This window comes from Homo sapiens, chromosome 11 (assembly GCF_000001405.40).
Source record: "Homo sapiens chromosome 11, GRCh38.p14 Primary Assembly".
NCBI classification, from domain to species: Eukaryota; Metazoa; Chordata; class Mammalia; order Primates; family Hominidae; genus Homo; species Homo sapiens.
Window position 1 is genome coordinate 96,583,866 of NC_000011.10, and position 17,376 is coordinate 96,601,241.

At 41.3% G+C, this 17,376-nt stretch overlaps 6 annotated features.

Moving 5' to 3' along the window:
- Nucleotides 2,204–2,791: an enhancer, noted in NCBI's record as "OCT4-NANOG-H3K27ac hESC enhancer chr11:96457069-96457656 (GRCh37/hg19 assembly coordinates)". NCBI's record gives its function as "activates a minimal SCP1, AML or CMV promoter by ChIP-STARR-seq in naive H9 embryonic stem cells {active_cell/tissue: H9 hESC(naive)}" and the evidence as "EXISTENCE:reporter gene assay evidence [ECO:0000049][PMID:30033119]".
- Nucleotides 2,204–3,379: a biological region, named in NCBI's record as "OCT4-NANOG-H3K27ac hESC enhancers GRCh37_chr11:96457069-96457656 and GRCh37_chr11:96457657-96458244".
- Nucleotides 2,671–2,871: a silencer, noted in NCBI's record as "peak1411 fragment used in MPRA reporter construct". NCBI's record gives its function as "represses an SCP1 promoter by STARR-seq MPRAs in K562 erythroleukemia cells {active_cell/tissue: K562}" and the evidence as "EXISTENCE:reporter gene assay evidence [ECO:0000049][PMID:32103011]".
- Nucleotides 2,792–3,379: an enhancer, noted in NCBI's record as "OCT4-NANOG-H3K27ac hESC enhancer chr11:96457657-96458244 (GRCh37/hg19 assembly coordinates)". NCBI's record gives its function as "activates a minimal SCP1, AML or CMV promoter by ChIP-STARR-seq in naive H9 embryonic stem cells {active_cell/tissue: H9 hESC(naive)}" and the evidence as "EXISTENCE:reporter gene assay evidence [ECO:0000049][PMID:30033119]".
- Nucleotides 8,754–9,397: an enhancer, noted in NCBI's record as "OCT4-NANOG-H3K27ac-H3K4me1 hESC enhancer chr11:96463619-96464262 (GRCh37/hg19 assembly coordinates)". NCBI's record gives its function as "activates a minimal SCP1, AML or CMV promoter by ChIP-STARR-seq in naive H9 embryonic stem cells {active_cell/tissue: H9 hESC(naive)}" and the evidence as "EXISTENCE:reporter gene assay evidence [ECO:0000049][PMID:30033119]".
- Nucleotides 9,398–10,039: an enhancer, noted in NCBI's record as "OCT4-NANOG-H3K27ac hESC enhancer chr11:96464263-96464904 (GRCh37/hg19 assembly coordinates)". NCBI's record gives its function as "activates a minimal SCP1, AML or CMV promoter by ChIP-STARR-seq in naive and primed H9 embryonic stem cells {active_cell/tissue: H9 hESC(naive and primed)}" and the evidence as "EXISTENCE:reporter gene assay evidence [ECO:0000049][PMID:30033119]".

The following is a 17,376-nucleotide window of genomic DNA, read 5'->3' on the forward strand; positions in this document are numbered from 1 at the left end:
ACCAAAAGGCTTCTGTGCAAGAGCAACAACAACCACCACCACCACAACATAACAGAAAACCCCAAAACAATCCACAGAATGAAAATATAACATGGTGAATGGGAGAAAATATTTGCAAACTGTTTATCCAACAAGGAACTAATATCCAGAATGTGCAAGAAACTTAAACAACTCAACAACCACAAAAACCAAGTAATCTCATTACAAAGTGGGCAAAAGTATGAATAGACATTACTCAAAAGAAGACATACAAATGGCCAACAAGTATGTGAAAAAATGCTCAACATCACTAATCAAAAATGCAAATCAAAGCCACAATGAGATACCATCTTACCTCAGTTATCACTGTCACTTTTGGTTATGAAAAAGATAAAAAAATGCTGGTGACAATATAAATTAGTACAGCCAATATGAAGCACAGTATGAAGTTTTCTCAAAAAACTAAAAATAGAACTACCATACAATTTAGTAATTCTACTACTGGGTATTTACCCAGAGGACAAGAAATTAGTATGTCAAAGGGATACGTGCACCCCCATGTTTATTGGAGCACTATTCACAATAGCTAAGACATGGAATCAATCTAAATGCCTATCACTGAATGAATGGGTAAAGAAAATTTGACATATACACTCAATGAAGTATAATCAGCCATAGAGAATGAAATCCTGTCATTTGCAGCAGCATGGATGAAACTGGAGGTCATTATGTTAAGTGAAATAACCCAGGCACAGAAATACAAAATAGTGCATGTTTTCTCTTATATGTGGAAGCTAAAAAAGATTATCTTATGGAGGTAAAGAGTAGTATGATGGATACTAAAAGCTGGCAAGGTTGTGTATGTGTGTGGAGAGGGGATGAGGAGAGGTTGGTTAATGGGTACCAACAGTTAGGTAGTTAGATAGAGGGAATACAATTAGATAGAAAGAATAAATTCTAGTGTTCAGTAGCAAAGCAGGGTGACTACAGTTAACAGCAATATATTGAATATTTCAAAATAGCTAGAAGAGAAAATTTGAAATGCTCCCAACACAAGGAAATGATAAGCATTTGAGGTGATATCATAAATACCCTGATTTAATCATTACACATTCTATGCATATATCAAAATATCACATGTGTTCCACAAATATGTACAAATATTATATACCAAAAAAAAACTAAAAAAATGATCTGGGCTTAGTTGAAGTGTGTGTGTGTATGTGTGCATGTGTGTTTGTATACCTTAAACTACAGTTTTAGTTTAAAAATATTTATAGTTCCGCTCTAATGTTTTTCTTTTTGAATTCAGTTTTCTGAGAATTGAATTTTTTTTTTTTTTTTTTTTTTTTTTGAGATGGAGTTTTGCTCTTATTGCCCAGGCTGGAGTGCAATGGTGCTATCTTGGCTTACTGCAACCTCCACCTCCCAGGTTCAAGTGATTCTCCTGCCTCAGCCTCCAGAGTAGCTGGGATTACAGGTGTGCGCCAACACGCCTGGCTAATTTTGTATTTTTAGTAGAGATGGGGTTTCTCCATATTGATCTGGCTGGTCTCAAACTCCTGACCTCAGCTGATCCACCCGCCTCAGCCTCCCAAAGTGCTGGGATTACAGGCATGAGCCACTGTGCCTGGCCCTGAGAAGTGATGAATTTTAATTACATGTTCAATTTGGATGACATAAAACTGTGCATATTATTCTTATTTTTTAAACAGAGGTATAACTGAGAGGTATTGTAGATTTGGTTCCAAACTATTGCAGTAAAGCAAATATCACAATCAAGCAAATCACACAAATTGTGGGGCTTTCCCAGTGCATATAAAAGTTATATATACACTGTACGCAGTCTTTTAAGTGTGCAATAGCACTAGGGGTATATACCCAATAATGGGATTGCTGAGTTGAATGATATTTCTGTTTTAAGTTCTTTGAGAAATCACCAAACTGCTTTCCACAATGGCTGAACAAATTTACATTTCCACTAGCAGTATATTAGCCTTCCCTTTCCTCTGCAACCTTACCAGTATCTGTTATTTTTTGACTTTTTATTGATAGCCATTCTGACTGATGTTAGATGGTATCTCATTGTGGTTTTGATTTGTGTTTCTCTAATCAGTGATGTTGAGCTTTTTTTCATATGATTGTTGGCCACATGTATATCTTCTTTTGAAAAGTGTCTGTTCATGTCCTTTGCCTACTTTTTAATGGGGTTGTTTTTTGCTTGTAAATTTGTTTAAGTTCCCCTTGTTTGTGTGTAGAAATACTACTGAGTTTTGTACATTAATTTTTGTGGGGAAAAGAAAGATCAGACTGTTACTGTGTCTATGTAGAAAGAAGTAGACATAAGAGACTCCATTTTGTCCTGTAATAAGAAAAATTCTTCTGCCTTGAGATGCTGTTAATCTGTAACCCTACCCCCAACCCTGTGCTCCCTGAAACATGTGCTGTGTCAACTCAGGGTTAAATGGATTAAGGGTTGTGCAGGAAGTGCTTTGTTAAACAAATGCTTGAAGGCAGCATGCTTGTTAAGAGTCATCACCACTCCCTAATCTCAAGTACCCAGAGACACAATACACTGCAGAAGGCCGCAGGGACCTCTGCCTAGGAAAGCCAGGTATTGTCCAAGGTTTCTCCCCATGTGATAGTCTGAAATATGGCCTCTTGGGAAGGGAAAGACCTGACCGTCCCCCAGCCCAACACCTGTAAAGGGTCTGTGCTGAGGAGGATTAGTAAAAGAGGAAGGCCTCTTTGCAGTTGAGATAAGAGGAAGGCATCTGTCTCCTGCTCACCCCTGGGCAATGGAATGTCTAGGTGTAAAACCCCATTGTATATTCCATCTACTGAGATAGGAGAAAATCACCTTAGGGCTGGAGGTGAGACATGCTGGCAGCAATACTGCTCTTCAAGGCATTGAGATGTTTATGTATATGCACATCAAAAGTACAGCACTTTTTTCTTTACCTTGTTTATGATGCAGAGAAATTTGTTCACTTGTTTTCCTGCTGACCTTCTCTCCACTATTACCCTATTGTCCTTCCAGATCCCCCTCTCTGAGAAACACCCGATAATGATCAATAAATACTAAGGGAACTCAGAGACTGGTGCAGGTGCCCGTCCTCCGTATGCTGAGCACCGGTTTCCCTGGGCCTACTTTTCTTTCTCTGTACTTTGTCTCTGTATCTCTTTCTTTTCTCAAGTCTCTCGTTCCACCTGACGAGAAACGCCCACAGGTGTGGAGGGGCAGGCCACCCCTTCAATTTTGTATCCTGAAATTATGCTGAAGTTATCAGATCAAGGCGCTTTGGGTCAGAGACTGGGGGTTTTTAGGTATAGAATCATGTAGTCTTTCAACAGATAGTTTGACTTCCTCTCTTCCTACCTGGATGCCTCTTATTGCTTTCTCTTGCCTGACTGCTCTGGCTTATGGTATTATTTTTAACTTTGTTTGTGTATTTTGGGTTTATCTCTTGTAAAACAGACTTTAAAAATTTAAATGGATTTGCAATTATATGAATTGCTGATAATATTTTAAAATTTATTTCTATAATTTCATTTATGCTTTTTGTTGTTCTGCTTTCTCTATGCTTTATTCCATTGCTTTTGGATTAATTCAGGAGTTTTAAAAAATTATACTTTTTTCATATCTAATGCTTAGTTTTTGGCTGTTAAAACTCAAACTCTGTGATCCTAGGTATCTGTCTATGACTTCAGGACAACTGCAGCTTTATGGTAGTTTAATCCCTTGGTTCTACTTCATTCTTAGTATTTGCTTACATATCTATATATCTATTGTCAGGCCTCTGAGCCCAAGCCAAGCCATCGCATCCCTTGTGACTTGCACGTATATGCTCAGATGGCCTGAAGTAACTGAAGAATCACAAAAGAAGTGAATATGCCCTGCCCCACCTTAACTGATGACATTCCGCCACAAAAGAAGTGTAAACGGCCAGTCCTTACCTTAACTGATGACATTACCTTGTGAAAGTCCTTTTCCTGGCTCATCCTGGCCCAAAAAGCACCCCCACTGAGCACCTTGTGACCCCCACTCCTGCCTGCCAGAGAACAAACCCCCTTTGACTGTAATTTTCCTTTACCTACCCAAATCCTATAAAATGGCCCCACCCTTATCTCCCTTCGCTGACTCTCTTTGCGGACTCAGCCCGCCTGCACCCAGGTGAAATAAACAGCCATGTTGCTCACACAAAGCCTGTTTGGTGGTCTCTTCACACAGACGCGCATGAAATTTGGTGCCGTGACTTGGGTCAGGGGACCTCCCTTGGGAGATCAATCCCCTGTCCTCCTGTTCTTTGCTCCATGAGAAAGATCCACCTATGACCTCAGGCCCTCAGACCGACCAGCCCAAGGAACGTCTCACCAATTTTAAATCAGGTAAGCAGCCTCTTCTTACTCTCTTCTCCAACCTCTCTCACTGTCTCTCAACCACTTTCTCCTTTCCAGTCTTCATTCTCTCCCTTCTCTTAATTTCAATTCCTTTCATTTTCTGGTAGAGACAAAGGAGACACGTTTTATCCGTGGACCCAAAACTCCGGCGCCAGTCACGGACTGGGAAGGCAGCCTTCCCTTGGTGTTTAATCATTGCAGGGACGCCTCTCTGATTATACACTCACGTTTCAAAGGTGTCAGACCATGCAGGGATGCCTGCCTTGGTCCTTCACCCTTAGTGGCAAGTCCCGCTTTTCTGGGGAAGGGGCAAGTACCCCAACCCCTTCTCTTCTTGTCTCTACCCCTTCTCTGCTTTTCTGGGAGAGGGGCAAGTACCCCTCAACCCTTTCTCCTTCACCCTTAGCGGCAAGTCCCGCTTTTGTGGGAGAGGGGCAAGTACCCCTCAACCCCTTCTCCTTCACCCTTAGCGGCAAGTCCTGCTTTTCTGGGGAAGGGGCAAGTACCCCTCAACCCCTTCTCCTTCACTCTTAGTGGCAAGTTCCGCTTTTCTAGAGGAGGGGCAAGTACCCCAACCTCATATCTCTGTGCCCCAATCCCTTATTTCCATGCCCCAACCTATCTCTGTGCCCCAATCCCTTATTTCTGCACCCCAACCTCTTATCTCTGCACCCCAATCCATTTCCACGCCCCAACCTCTTATCTCTGTGCCCCAATCCCTTACTTCTGTGCCCCAACCTCTTATCTCTGTGCCCCAATCCCTTATTTCCACACCCCAACCTCTTATATCTCTGTGCCCCAATCCCTTATTTCCATGCCTGGACCTCTTATCTCTGCGCCCCAACCCCTTTTCCCACTTTTCTGGAAGATAAGAACCCCCGACCCTTCCCTCCGTTTCTCTACTCTCTTTTCTCTAGGCTTGCTTCCTTCACTATGGGCAACCTTCCACCCTCCATTCCTCCTTCTACTCCCTTGGCCTGTGTTCTTAAAAACTTAAAACCTCTTCAACTCACACCTGACCTAAAACCTAAATGCATTATTTTCTTCTGCAATGCTGCTTGACCCCAATACAAACTCGACAGTAGTTCCAAATAGCCAGAAAATGGCACTTTGAATTTTTCCATCCTGGAAAACCTAAATAATTTTTGTTGAAAAATAGGCAAATGGTCTGAGATGCCTGACATCCAGGCATTCTTTTACACATCAGTCCCTTCCTAGTCTCTGTGCCCAGTGCACCTCATCCCAAATCTTCTTTCTTTCCCTCCCGCCTGTCCCCTCAGTACCAACCCCAAGCGTGGCTGAGTCTTTCTAATCTTCTTTTCTACAGACCCATCTGACCTCTCCCCTCCTCCCCAGGCTGCTCCTCGCCAGGCCAAGCTAGGTCCCAATTCTTCCTCAGCCTCTGCTACTCCACCCTATAATCTTTTTATCACCTGCCCTCCTGACACCTGGTCCGGCTTACAGTTTAGTTCCGTGACTAGCCCTCCCCCACCTGCCCAGCAATTTACTCTTAAAAAGGTGGCTGGAGCCAAAGGCATAGTCAAAGTTAATGCTCCTTTTTCTTTATCCCAAATCAGAAGCGTTTAGGCTCTTTTTCATCAAATATAAAAATCCAGCCCAGTTCATGGCTCGTTTGGCAGCAACCCTGAGATGCTTTACAGCCCTAGACCCTAAAAGGTCAAAAGGCCGTCTTATTCTCAATATACATTTTATTACCCAATCTGCTCCCGACATTAAATAAAACTCCAAAAATTTGAATCTAGCCCTCAAACCCCACAACAGGACTTAATTAACCTCACCTTCAAGGTGTACAATAACAGAAAAAAGTTGCAATTCCTTGCCTCCACTGTGAGACAAACCCCAGCCACATCTCCAGCACACAAGAACTTCCAAATGCCTGAACTGCAGCAGCCAGGTGTTTCTCCAGAACCTCCTCCCCCAGGAGCTTGCTACACGTGCCAGAAATATGGCCACTGGGCCAAGGAATGCCGCAGCCCGGGATTCCTCCTAAGCCGCGTCCCATCTTTGTGGGACCCCACTGAAAATCGGACTGTTCAACTCACCTGGCAGCCACTCCCAGAGCCCCTGGAACTCTGGCCCAAGGCTCTCTGACTGACTCCCTCCCAGATCTTCTCGGCTTAGCAGCTGAAGACTGACACTGCCCGATCACCTTGGAAGCCCCCTAGACCATCATGGATGCCGAGCTTCAGGTAACTCTCACAGTGGAAGGTAAGCCCATCCCCTTCTTAATCAATATGGAGGCTACCCACTCCACATTACCTTCTTTTCAAGGGCCTGCTTCCCTTGCCTCCATAACTGTTGTGGATATTGACGGCCAGGCTTCTAAACCTCTTAAAACTCCCCAACTCTGGTGCCAACTTAGACAATACTCTTTTAAGCACTCCTTTTTAGTTATCCCCACCTGCCCAGTTCCCTTATTAGGCTGAGACACTTTAACTAAATTATCTGCTTCCCTGACTATTCCTGGACTACAGCTATATCTCATTGCCGCCCTTCTTCCCAATCCAAAGCCTCCTTTGCGTCCTCCTCTTGTATTCCCCCACCTTAACCCACAAGTATAAGATACCTCTACTCCCTCCTTGGCGACCGATCATGCACCCCTTACCATCTCAGTAAAACCTAATCACCCTTACCCCACTCAACGCCAATATCCCATCCCGCAGCACGCTTTAAAAAGATTAAAGCCTGTTATCACTCGCCTGCTACAGCATGGCCTTTTAAAGCCTATAAACTCTCCTTACAATTCCCCCATTTTACCTGTCCTAAAACCAGACAAGCCTTACAAGTTAGTTCAGGATCTGTGCCTTATCAACCAAATTGTTTTGCCTATCCACCCCATGGTGCCAAACCCATATACTCTCCTATCCTCAATACCTCCCTCTACTACCCATTATTCTGTTCCAGATCTCAAACATGCTTTCTTTACTATTCCTTTGCACCCTTTATCCCAGCCTCTCTTCGCTTTTGCTTGGACTGACCCTGACACCCATCAAGCTCAGCAAATTACCTAGGCTGTACTACCACAAAGCTTCACAGACAGCTCCCATTACTTCAATCAAGCCCAAATTTCTTCCTCATCTGTTACCTATATCGGCATAATTCTCATAAAAACACATGCTCTCCTTGCCAATCGTGTCCGACTGATCTCTCAAACCCCAGCTCCTTCTACAAAACAACAACTCCTTTCCTTAATAGGCATGGTTAGCGTGGTCAGAATTCTTACACAAGAGCCAGGACCACACTCTGTAGGCTTTCTGTCCAAACAACTTGACCTTACTGTTTTAGCCTAGCCCTCATGTCTGCGTGCAGCGGCTGCCGCTGCTTTAATACTTTTAGAGGCCCTCAAAATCACAAACTATGCTCAACTCACTCTCTACAGTTCTTATAACTTCCAAAATCTATTTTCTTCCTCATACCTGATGCATATACTTTCTGCTCCCCAGCTCCTTCAGCTATACTCACTCTTTTTTGAGTCTCCCACAATTACCGTTGTTCCTGGCCCGGACTTCAGTCCGGCCTCCCACATTATTCCTGATACCACGCCTGACCCCCACGACTGTATCTCTCTGATCCACCTGACATTCACCCCATTTCCCCAAATTTCCTTCTTTCCTGTTCCTCACCCTCATCAGGCTTGATTTATTGATGGCAGTTCCACCAGGCCTAATCGCCACATACCAGCAAAGGCAGGTTATACTATAGTACAAGCCACTAGCCCGCCTCTTAGAACCTCTCATTTCCTTTCTATCATGGAAATCTATCCTCAAGGAAATAACTTCTCAGTGTTCCATCTGCTGTTCTACTACTCCTCAGGGATTATTCAGGCCCCCTCCCTTCCCTACACATCAAGCTCAAGGATTTGCCCCACCCAGGACTGGCAAATTAGCTTTACTCAACATGCCCTGAGTCAGATAACTAAAATACCTCTTAGTCTAGGTAGATGCTTTCACTGGATAGGTAGAGGCCTTTCCTACAGGGTCTGAGAAGGCCACCGCAGTCATTTCTTCCATTCTGTCAGACATAATTCCTCAGTTTAGCCTTCCCACCTCAATACAGTCTGATAACAGATGAGCCTATTAGTCAAATCAGCCAAGCAGTTTTTCAGGCTCTTAGTATTCAGTGAAACCTTTATATCCCTTACAGTCCTCCATCTTCAAGAAAAGTAGAATGGACTAAAGGTCTTTTAAAAACACACCTCACCAAGCTCAGCCACCAACTTAAAAAGGACTGGACAATACTTTTACCACTTTCCCTTCTCAGAATTCAGGCCTGTCCTCTGAATGCTACAGGGTACAGCCCATTTAAGGTCCTGTATAGATGCTCCTTTTTATTAGGCCCCAGTCTCATTCCAGACACCAGACCAACTTAGACTGTGCCCCAAAAAACTTGTCATCCCTACTATCTTCTGTCTAGTCATACTCCTATTCACTGTTCTCAACTACTCATACATGCCCTGCTCTTGTTTACACTGCCGGTTTACACTGTTTTTCCAAGCCATCACAGCTGATATCTCCTGGTGCTATCCCCAAACTGCCACTCTTAACTCTTGAAGTAAATAAATAATCTTTGCTGGCAGGACTATGCTGAATCTCCTTAGGCACTCTCTAATCAGTTATCCTGAGTCGTCCCAACTCTTAGACCTTTTATACCTGTTTTTCTCCTTCTGTTATTCCATTTAGTTTCTCAATTCATCCAAAACCGTATCCAGGCCATCACGAATCATTCTATAAGACAAATGTTTCTTCTAACATCCCCACAATATCACCCCTTACCACAAGACCTCCCTTCAGCTTAATCTCTCCCACTCTAGGTTCCCAAGCTGCCCCTAATCCCGCTTGAAGCAGCCCTGAGAAACATCGCCCATTCTCTCTCCATACCGCCCCCCAAAAATTTTCGCCGCCCCAACACTTCAACACTATCTTGTTTTATTTTTCTTATTAATATAAGAAGGCAGGAATGTCAGGCCTCTGAGCCCAAGCCAAGCCATCGCATCCCTTGTGACTTGCACCTATACGCCCAGATGGCCTGAAGTAACTGAAGAATCACAAAAGAAGTGAATATGCCCTGCCCCACCTTAACTGATGACATTCCACCACAAAAGAAGTGTAAATGGCTGGTCCTTGCCTTAACTGATGACATTACCTTGTGAAAGTCCTTTTCCTGGCTCATCCTGGCTCAAAAAGCACCCCCACTGAGCACCTTGCGACCCCCACTCCTGCCTGCCAGAGAACAAACTCCCTTTGACTGTAATTTTCCTTTACCTACCCAAATCCTATAAAACGGCCCCGCCCTTATCTCCCTTCGCTGACTCTCTTTGCGGACTCAGCCCGCCTGCACCCAGGTGAAATAAACAGCCATGTTGCTCACACAAAGCCTGTTTGGTGGTCTCTTCACATGGATGTGCATGAAATCTATGTATCTACATTTTTTAATGTTTTGGTATAATCTGTTTTTTAAAAAATTCATATGTAACAGATGTAACATATTTTGAGGATACATGTGATATTTTGATACATTCATATAATGTGTAATAATCAAATCGTGATAATTGGGATATCCATCACCTTAAACATTTTTCTTTATGCTGGAAATGCTTATTCTCTATTACCTATTTTAAAATTTAATATAGATTACTGTTTACTATAGTAATTCTATTGATCCATTGTACACTAGATCTTATTCCTTTTATCTAACTGTATTTTCGTATCCATTAATCAACCTCTCTTTATCCTCTTCTCTCCCTTACCTTTCCTGGCCTGTGGTAACCACCAATATACTCCCCATCTTCATGAGATCTACTTTCCTAGCTCCTGCATAGGAATGAGAACTGCTATGTATATATTTTGTACGTATGTATCATCTACTTATTTTGGTGTTTGAGGAACTCCTTTATGGTTTTGCTAGTTCAGATCTATATTTACAAGTATTTTTTGAATCAGATTTTATTATGTATTTATACTTTTTATGTACTGAGAATTTTTTCAGGGAATGTAGTCTCTAATACTACCTCAAGTAGAAATATTTGTTAAATAGTTAATTATTGTTTTTGCATATATTTACCACTTTTCAAACACAAGAATTATTTCTATGTTACATACCATGATGTACCTCTCATATGTATCATTTGTATTTCATTGCCTTTCTTCCCTTTTCCATTATCCTTTTGCATGACTTGCTTAACCTTGTTATCCATCTTATTACTTTTCTACAGTGATTTTTCAGATTCCTTCCTTTGTCCCATTTGGCATATTTTCTTTGTGATGCCCATTTGCCTTTCTCTCAAACTGTTGTATACAATCTCATCATGCATTTCTTTTCTTAAAAGTGAAATGTGCATTTTCTTATATGTTGTTGCCAAAAAATGACTGTAGGTTGATACCTCTTGGGTATCATTAGTCTTTACTTTGGCATCTTTTAAACCTTTGCTTTGGAACATAAGCTAAAAGCATGTTTATATTAACCATTTGGTCACCACTGACAACCTAAGAGAAGGACTGGGAGCTGATGCCATGAGATGTTATTGCTGTAGAGCTTTGTTTTTATAGGCCTATATTTGTATTTATTAATATACTTGTTTTAATGCTGTGTCTGGGTACATGCTCCACTAAAGTGGAGGATTATTCTATTCCACTGAGAAAATACATTATGGCTCTTTATTGTTGTTATTCATGGTGTCCTGGCCATTTTAGAGAATTTCTTATGAGGACACAGGCAGTCTTTAGACTTCTTCTTTTGTGAACATGGGTGACACTGCTAGTTGTTTCCTTAATATTTATTTAGTCATTTATTCTCACTGATGGAAGCTCAATTCTGTCTAGAGTGGCAATGCGTCCAGGCAAAACATCCTGTCTCTCAGTGTTACTTGTCTCCATATGCCATATTCGATTGGATCATAAGCCATATTTTTAAATGCATGGCATAGTTTATTAACAACAGTTTCGTGTGATTGAGCCAAGAATTTTTGGCCACGAAGATGGAAATCACTGGGTGCAGCAAATCACTGGGTGGAGATTCTGTGAAGGCTGTTTTAAAGGAGCTGTATATTTCTGGTTTGATTTTTCAACCTTCTGTCCTTTGCCCTTCTCCTTCATTTCATTTTCTGTGATCTTCAACCCAATGACTAGCATTAAAACAGCCATCTTATAAATAAAGCCTGAAAGATGCATCTGAATGAGAGCAGAGTAAGGACAGAATAAGTCCTTGATAACCTATTTAAGCAATTGCACCATCCATAGACTGCACACTTTTGGATATGTTGTTATATGAAAAACAAATAGGTCCTTATTTAGTTATGTCAGCCCCTACCCCTCTACCATCCTAATCATTGCTTTTTCTGATGAGTACTCATAACTAAGAAAATGGCTCCAAATAAATTGGTCCTAGCTTCTTATATATTTGTAATTTCCAAATAAATTGGGCATAGTCTCCCTTACCTTAAGTCTTCAGCAATCCAGATGAAGAAACAGTAGAATTCATTCTTGTACTGAAGTAAACTTGCAATACTATTTCACATGCTCAGAGAAGAGTAATGAGGAAAGGCTACTCTTTTTTCTTTCTCTAGACACACAAGAATGGTTTTTACATGTAGTGATTGGCGTGGAGGAAAAGACCCCAACTACAGCTGCTTATGCTCCAAGCTATTGCCTATTTAAATCGAGGGATATTAGAAAATATTATTCAGATTTGTTTCACTTACTTCCAGCAACACTTCACTCCTGCCTTTGGGAGGGGAGTTTTATGTTGGGTCTCTATGTCCCAAGCCTAACCTAGAACATTATAGATGTGTTTGCAGATCAGTGGGCTGTGTTATGCAGGCAGCTTGCTGTGCTCCTGAATTTTAGGGTCAAGGATATGGTAATGGTAATTGCTACTTGTCATTAAGTTCCTACCATGTTCTAGCTACTGTTCTCAGCACTTGACATGTGTTAACTCACTTAATTCTTATACAGTAGATAGGTTCTATTATTAATACTCTCACTTTCCAGGGGAGGCAACTGAGACTGTGAGAGATTGAATCATTTGCCCAATGTCACCTGGTTAGAATGGGGCAGAGTGGGGATGGGACTCTCACAGATGGACTCCATAGTCTGTACCATGACTTCTTAGCTGCTTTTCCTGGACCTTGTATACAGATGTCTCCCTGGAATTCTAAACCTCATAAGGAAAGAAGCTGTGCTGGGAAAGACAGGAAGGAAGCACAGAGAAAAGCAAATGAACACAAACTGTTGGAGAGGAAAAGCCACTATTGAAGAGGCTGCCAGGAAATATGAGAGACTTTCCCTACCCCGATGCTATGATTTTTGTCCTAGTTTGAACTGTACCCAGAAATAAAATTGTCCTCTTCATTTTTACTTCTCTGAAATCTTTCATGTTCACGGGAAGATGTGTGAAAGTTTTCTCTTCTACTGCCATCCTTTCACAAACCCTAAGGCTCTTCTCTGAGGCTTGGTCCACTATGGCATCCATAGAGCTGCTTGGTGCAGTAGAAAGTTGGTTCTCAAAATCAGACAGGCTTGGATTTGTATTCCTCTTCAGCTATTACTAACCCGTGTGATCTGTGTGATCTGTACAAGTCACTTAACTCTTGGGGGCCTTAGTCTCTTTGTTCATCAAATGGGAATACTAATTGTTAGGAAATTGGCTTATTCATTAAGTCAACCAATATCTATTGATTACCTACTTTGTGCTAGTCACTGGTAGATAATGTTTTGGCAAAAATAAATAATAAGTAATATTTGATCTTGCACTCAATAAACTTAAAATCCAGTAGAGAAGATAGGCATGTAAGAGATAATCAGCACTCCTGGTATAAATGCTATGATTAGTGTAAATACAGGCTGTTGTGTTGAGAATTATAGAGCTCTTGTCACATAAAAGGCACTCAGCAATGTAAGTGCTTGTTCATTTCTTCCATTCTTCCCCTTATTCTAAAGGATCCTGCTGCTGCCAAGCCTTCCCCACATATGTGCAGTTTCATTTCAGAAGCTTTACTCTATCCCAGGACGTCTTTTTACTTTTAATGTGCAGTGTGGCTCTGAGAGGATACTGTTTAACTACCTCTCAAAGCCAAATAGGGCGATTTGTGACACGTGTAGTTTGCACCTTGGGCATCTATTATTCACATCAATATTTGTGTGCCATTTAATACATTAAACTTAAATTTCTACTAAAAGAAAAATAACTGAGAATTTAAGAGAGAGATATAAAAAGAAAACCTTAAAATGTTGAGAAAATAAAATGTTTGGGGTTTTTACCTTCTTAACTATTTGCATGTTATAATTACAGAATTACCTACTATGGTTTTGGTTGGCTGTGTCCCAATAACCCCATTCCAGTTTTAAATGTGAAAGTACAATTAGTTTTTCCTAGAGTTGGTAATAGAGTTTGACACTTCTGGGTTCTTGACTTGTGTGTTAGAGCCAAACCATATGCGCTAGTAATACAGATAAATACACATTGCCTCATGCATACTTTTAAATCAGTATGAAGCTAGTCTAAAATTTAGGAAGTTACCATATAGATCAAGGAGAAAATATGTATTTTTTTCTATCTCCCTTTAGATGAGCCTTGATTCTGCAGAACTACCAGGCTTAGATGGTGTGTGGGGCTCAGTAGATTTAGTTTTAAAGCTTATTAAGGGGGATTGCTAAATTCTTTTAGCTTCCAAAATAAAAGGAGGTAAATATTATTGGAAGAATTAAATATGTAGGTAGACTAGGAGAGAATGAAGAAAGTTTTCAGGGCCACATTAAATTTTAAGTAAGTTTTTCCAAAATGAGTTGTAGGCTGTCTAGCAAGGTGACTGGAAAACTCCTTTCCTCTAAATTGACAAGTACTGCTGCTGATCAGTTTATATTGGTAATTATCTTTAGAAATGTTAGCTGTGGAGGCATTTTATATGAGAACATCCACATTTACCTATTACTTTGGTAACTCTGAAATGACAAGAAAGAATATTCATAGGCTTTTCTTATAATCCAGTAGGAGCTCCAAACATACAAACCCATAGAGCAGCAGCATTGCAGATCAATAAGGACTAGAGATCTGCAATAGGTTTTCAAAACTCACTATAAAAAAAAACAAGCTTTTGTGCCTTGGGAGTATTTCACAATAATTAGAGTATTAATCTTAAATTCACAGTGCAGATAAACTACTTAGAGGATGGTATAGCAATGGCACAAGCTATTTCCACATTCAGTTTGTGAAATATCTTTAAGCAAAAATCCTATTAATATGCTGTAGGCTGGGTGCAGTGGCTCACACCTGTTATTCCAACACTTTGGGATGCTGATGGGGGTGGATCACCTGAGGTTAGGCTTTTGAGAACAGCCTGGCCAACATGGTGAAAACCCATCTCTGCTAAAAATACAAGAATTAGCTGAGTGTGGTGGTGTGTGCCTGTAGTCCCAGCTACTCAGGAGGCTGAGGCAGGAGAATCGCTTGAACCCGGGAGGCAGAGGTTGCAGTGAGCTGAAATTGTGCTGCTGCACTCCAGCTTGGGCAACAGAGTGAGAGACTCTGTCTCAAAAACAAAGGAAAACAAAACAAAGCTGTAGGTCAGTGATTGTATATTCAAAGAATTTCACTTTGCCAAAACCCGTTATCAAGATTTACTTACCATGATATCAGCAAGGGAGAGGGAGGCAGTTATATTAAATAATAATTAAAACCCATCTCAAATTACCCACAAATATTTAGGATTTTATTTAATTGAACCCAAGATGAAAACAAAACTAATAAATGGCAAAGTTTATTATGCAACTTCTGATTAATAGAATAGTGCAAAGATTGCTCAGGAAACCAAGGAAGATTTAAACACACACATTTATATATGTAATATGAGTAATATATGCATATCTGCATTATTTTGTTTTTTTAAAATATAAGATAGATGGGTAATGGCTAGGTGTGGTGGTGTGCACATGTAGTCCCAGTTACTCAATAGGCTGAGGTGGGAGGATTGCTCGAGCCCAAGAGTTTAAGACTAGCCTGGGTAACACAGTGAGACCCTGTCTGAAAAGAAAAGGTAGATAGGTATAGCTATAGGTGGGTGTGTGCATGTGTGTATGTCTGTACATTTCACATATTATGTTATTTTTAAAGTCAAACTTTTTTTTTTTTTTTTTTTTTTTTTTTTTTTTTTTTTTTTTTTGAGATGGAGTTTCACTCTGTCACCCAGACTGGAGTGCAGTGGTACCATCTTGGCTCACTGCAACCTCCGCCTCCAAGGTTCAAGCTGAGTCTCCTGCCTCAGCCTCCCGAGCCCGAGTAGCTGGGATTACAGGGTCGTGCCACCACACCTGGCTGATTTTTGTATTTTTAGCAGAGATGGGGTTTCACCATGTTGGCCAGGCTGGTCTAGAACTCCTTACCTCAGGTGATCCTACTTCTTTGAACTTGGCTCATGGAATTCTATATTCTTTTTTCCTGTGAATTCCATTTCATCCCTTACAGCTTAAAACTGGGATATAATATAAAAGCGTTAAACTTCTCTGCTTGGCTTAGAAAATTGCACAGTGATAGTCACAGTATTGGACCCCATAAAGTATGATGTTCCTGTGAAAGATAAGAGGGGAGGCAGCAAGAGTAGTGGGCAAGGAGAACGCTTCAGATTACAATATAGGTCTGGAACCTGAAAGGATAATGGGAAGGAAGTGCTGAGTAAGAAGAACCCCTTATTGGAGATTAGTTCTGAGAAAGTTTCGGACAGACATATGAGAAGCCCCTGAGCCAGATTTTCACCCTGCACTGGGTAGCTATGCCTTTTTCTAGCCCCTGCTGTGCTTAGTCATAGGCTAGGAGATGCCTGGAAGAAGCACAAACTGGGGTGAATGCTGTCATGGATCTACAGTTATGGCAGCTGAAGCCTGTCAGTCAATCATAGTCCCAGCAGCAGATTCCCTCGAGGGAGACCTGACCAGGGCACCTCCATCGATGACACACGCACATGACTCTTGGCTCAACAGAAAATTCTTTTAAATTCTGTGCTCTGACTAGGCATGGTGGCTCATGCCTGCAACCCCAGTACTTTGGGAGGCCAAGATGGGAAAATCACTTGAGGCCAGGAGTTAAAGACCAACCTGGGGAAAGTAACAAGGCCCCATTTCTACAACAACAACAACAAATTAGCTGGGAGTGGTGGCACACACCTGTAGTTTTAGTTACTAAGGAGGCTGAGGTGGGAAGATCGCTTACACCCAGGTGTTGGAGGCTGCAGTGATCTGTGATTGCATGTGCCACTGCGCTCCTGCACTCTAGCCTGGGTGGCAGAGCAAGATCCTGTCTTTAAATGAAACAAAACAAAAATTCTGTAATTTCTCTGCTCTGATAAGAAGTAAGTTTTTCTCCAGCAGCGATTTGGGAAGATTGATCTCTATCATGATTGTTTCAACGCCCTCCTACTTCAAACCTCCTCTTCTAATTGCTTCCTACCAACTACACATTCTTCTGTATTTTACGCACAGAGAGTAGAGACAGACTCTTGAAGCAGGCTTTAATACAGAGAAACATCTGTAACATAAATTGCCCTAAAGTGGAATTAAAGTCTTTCTGTAGGCAATATAATAAGGTTTGGTAGTTGAAAGATTCAAGGGATATCTTTCTGAAATGGCCTCACTTGTAAGAATACACTACAGCAAGAATCTCTAGAACCAGTGTGGTATAAGCCATAGGCAACTGCCAAGGTTTTTACTACAGGGTGGCAAATTCAGACTTGCCATGTTTGAAATATCATATTTGGTTGGGGATTAGATATTTATCTATGGCTGCTCAGTAGTTTGTTATCCTGAGGAACTTAGCATGGGCAGCAGCATATTATTGATTTTGGAAAACAGGAAGGATTGAAAGAAGCTGTGTGGATTATTATGGGAAAAGCTGTTGGCAGGTGTGTGTCCTGAATAAATGAACAACTTGATAATTCCACACCTGGAACCCAAAGAGAAAAAATGTGGATGGTGACCTGCTGGCGTGGAGGTT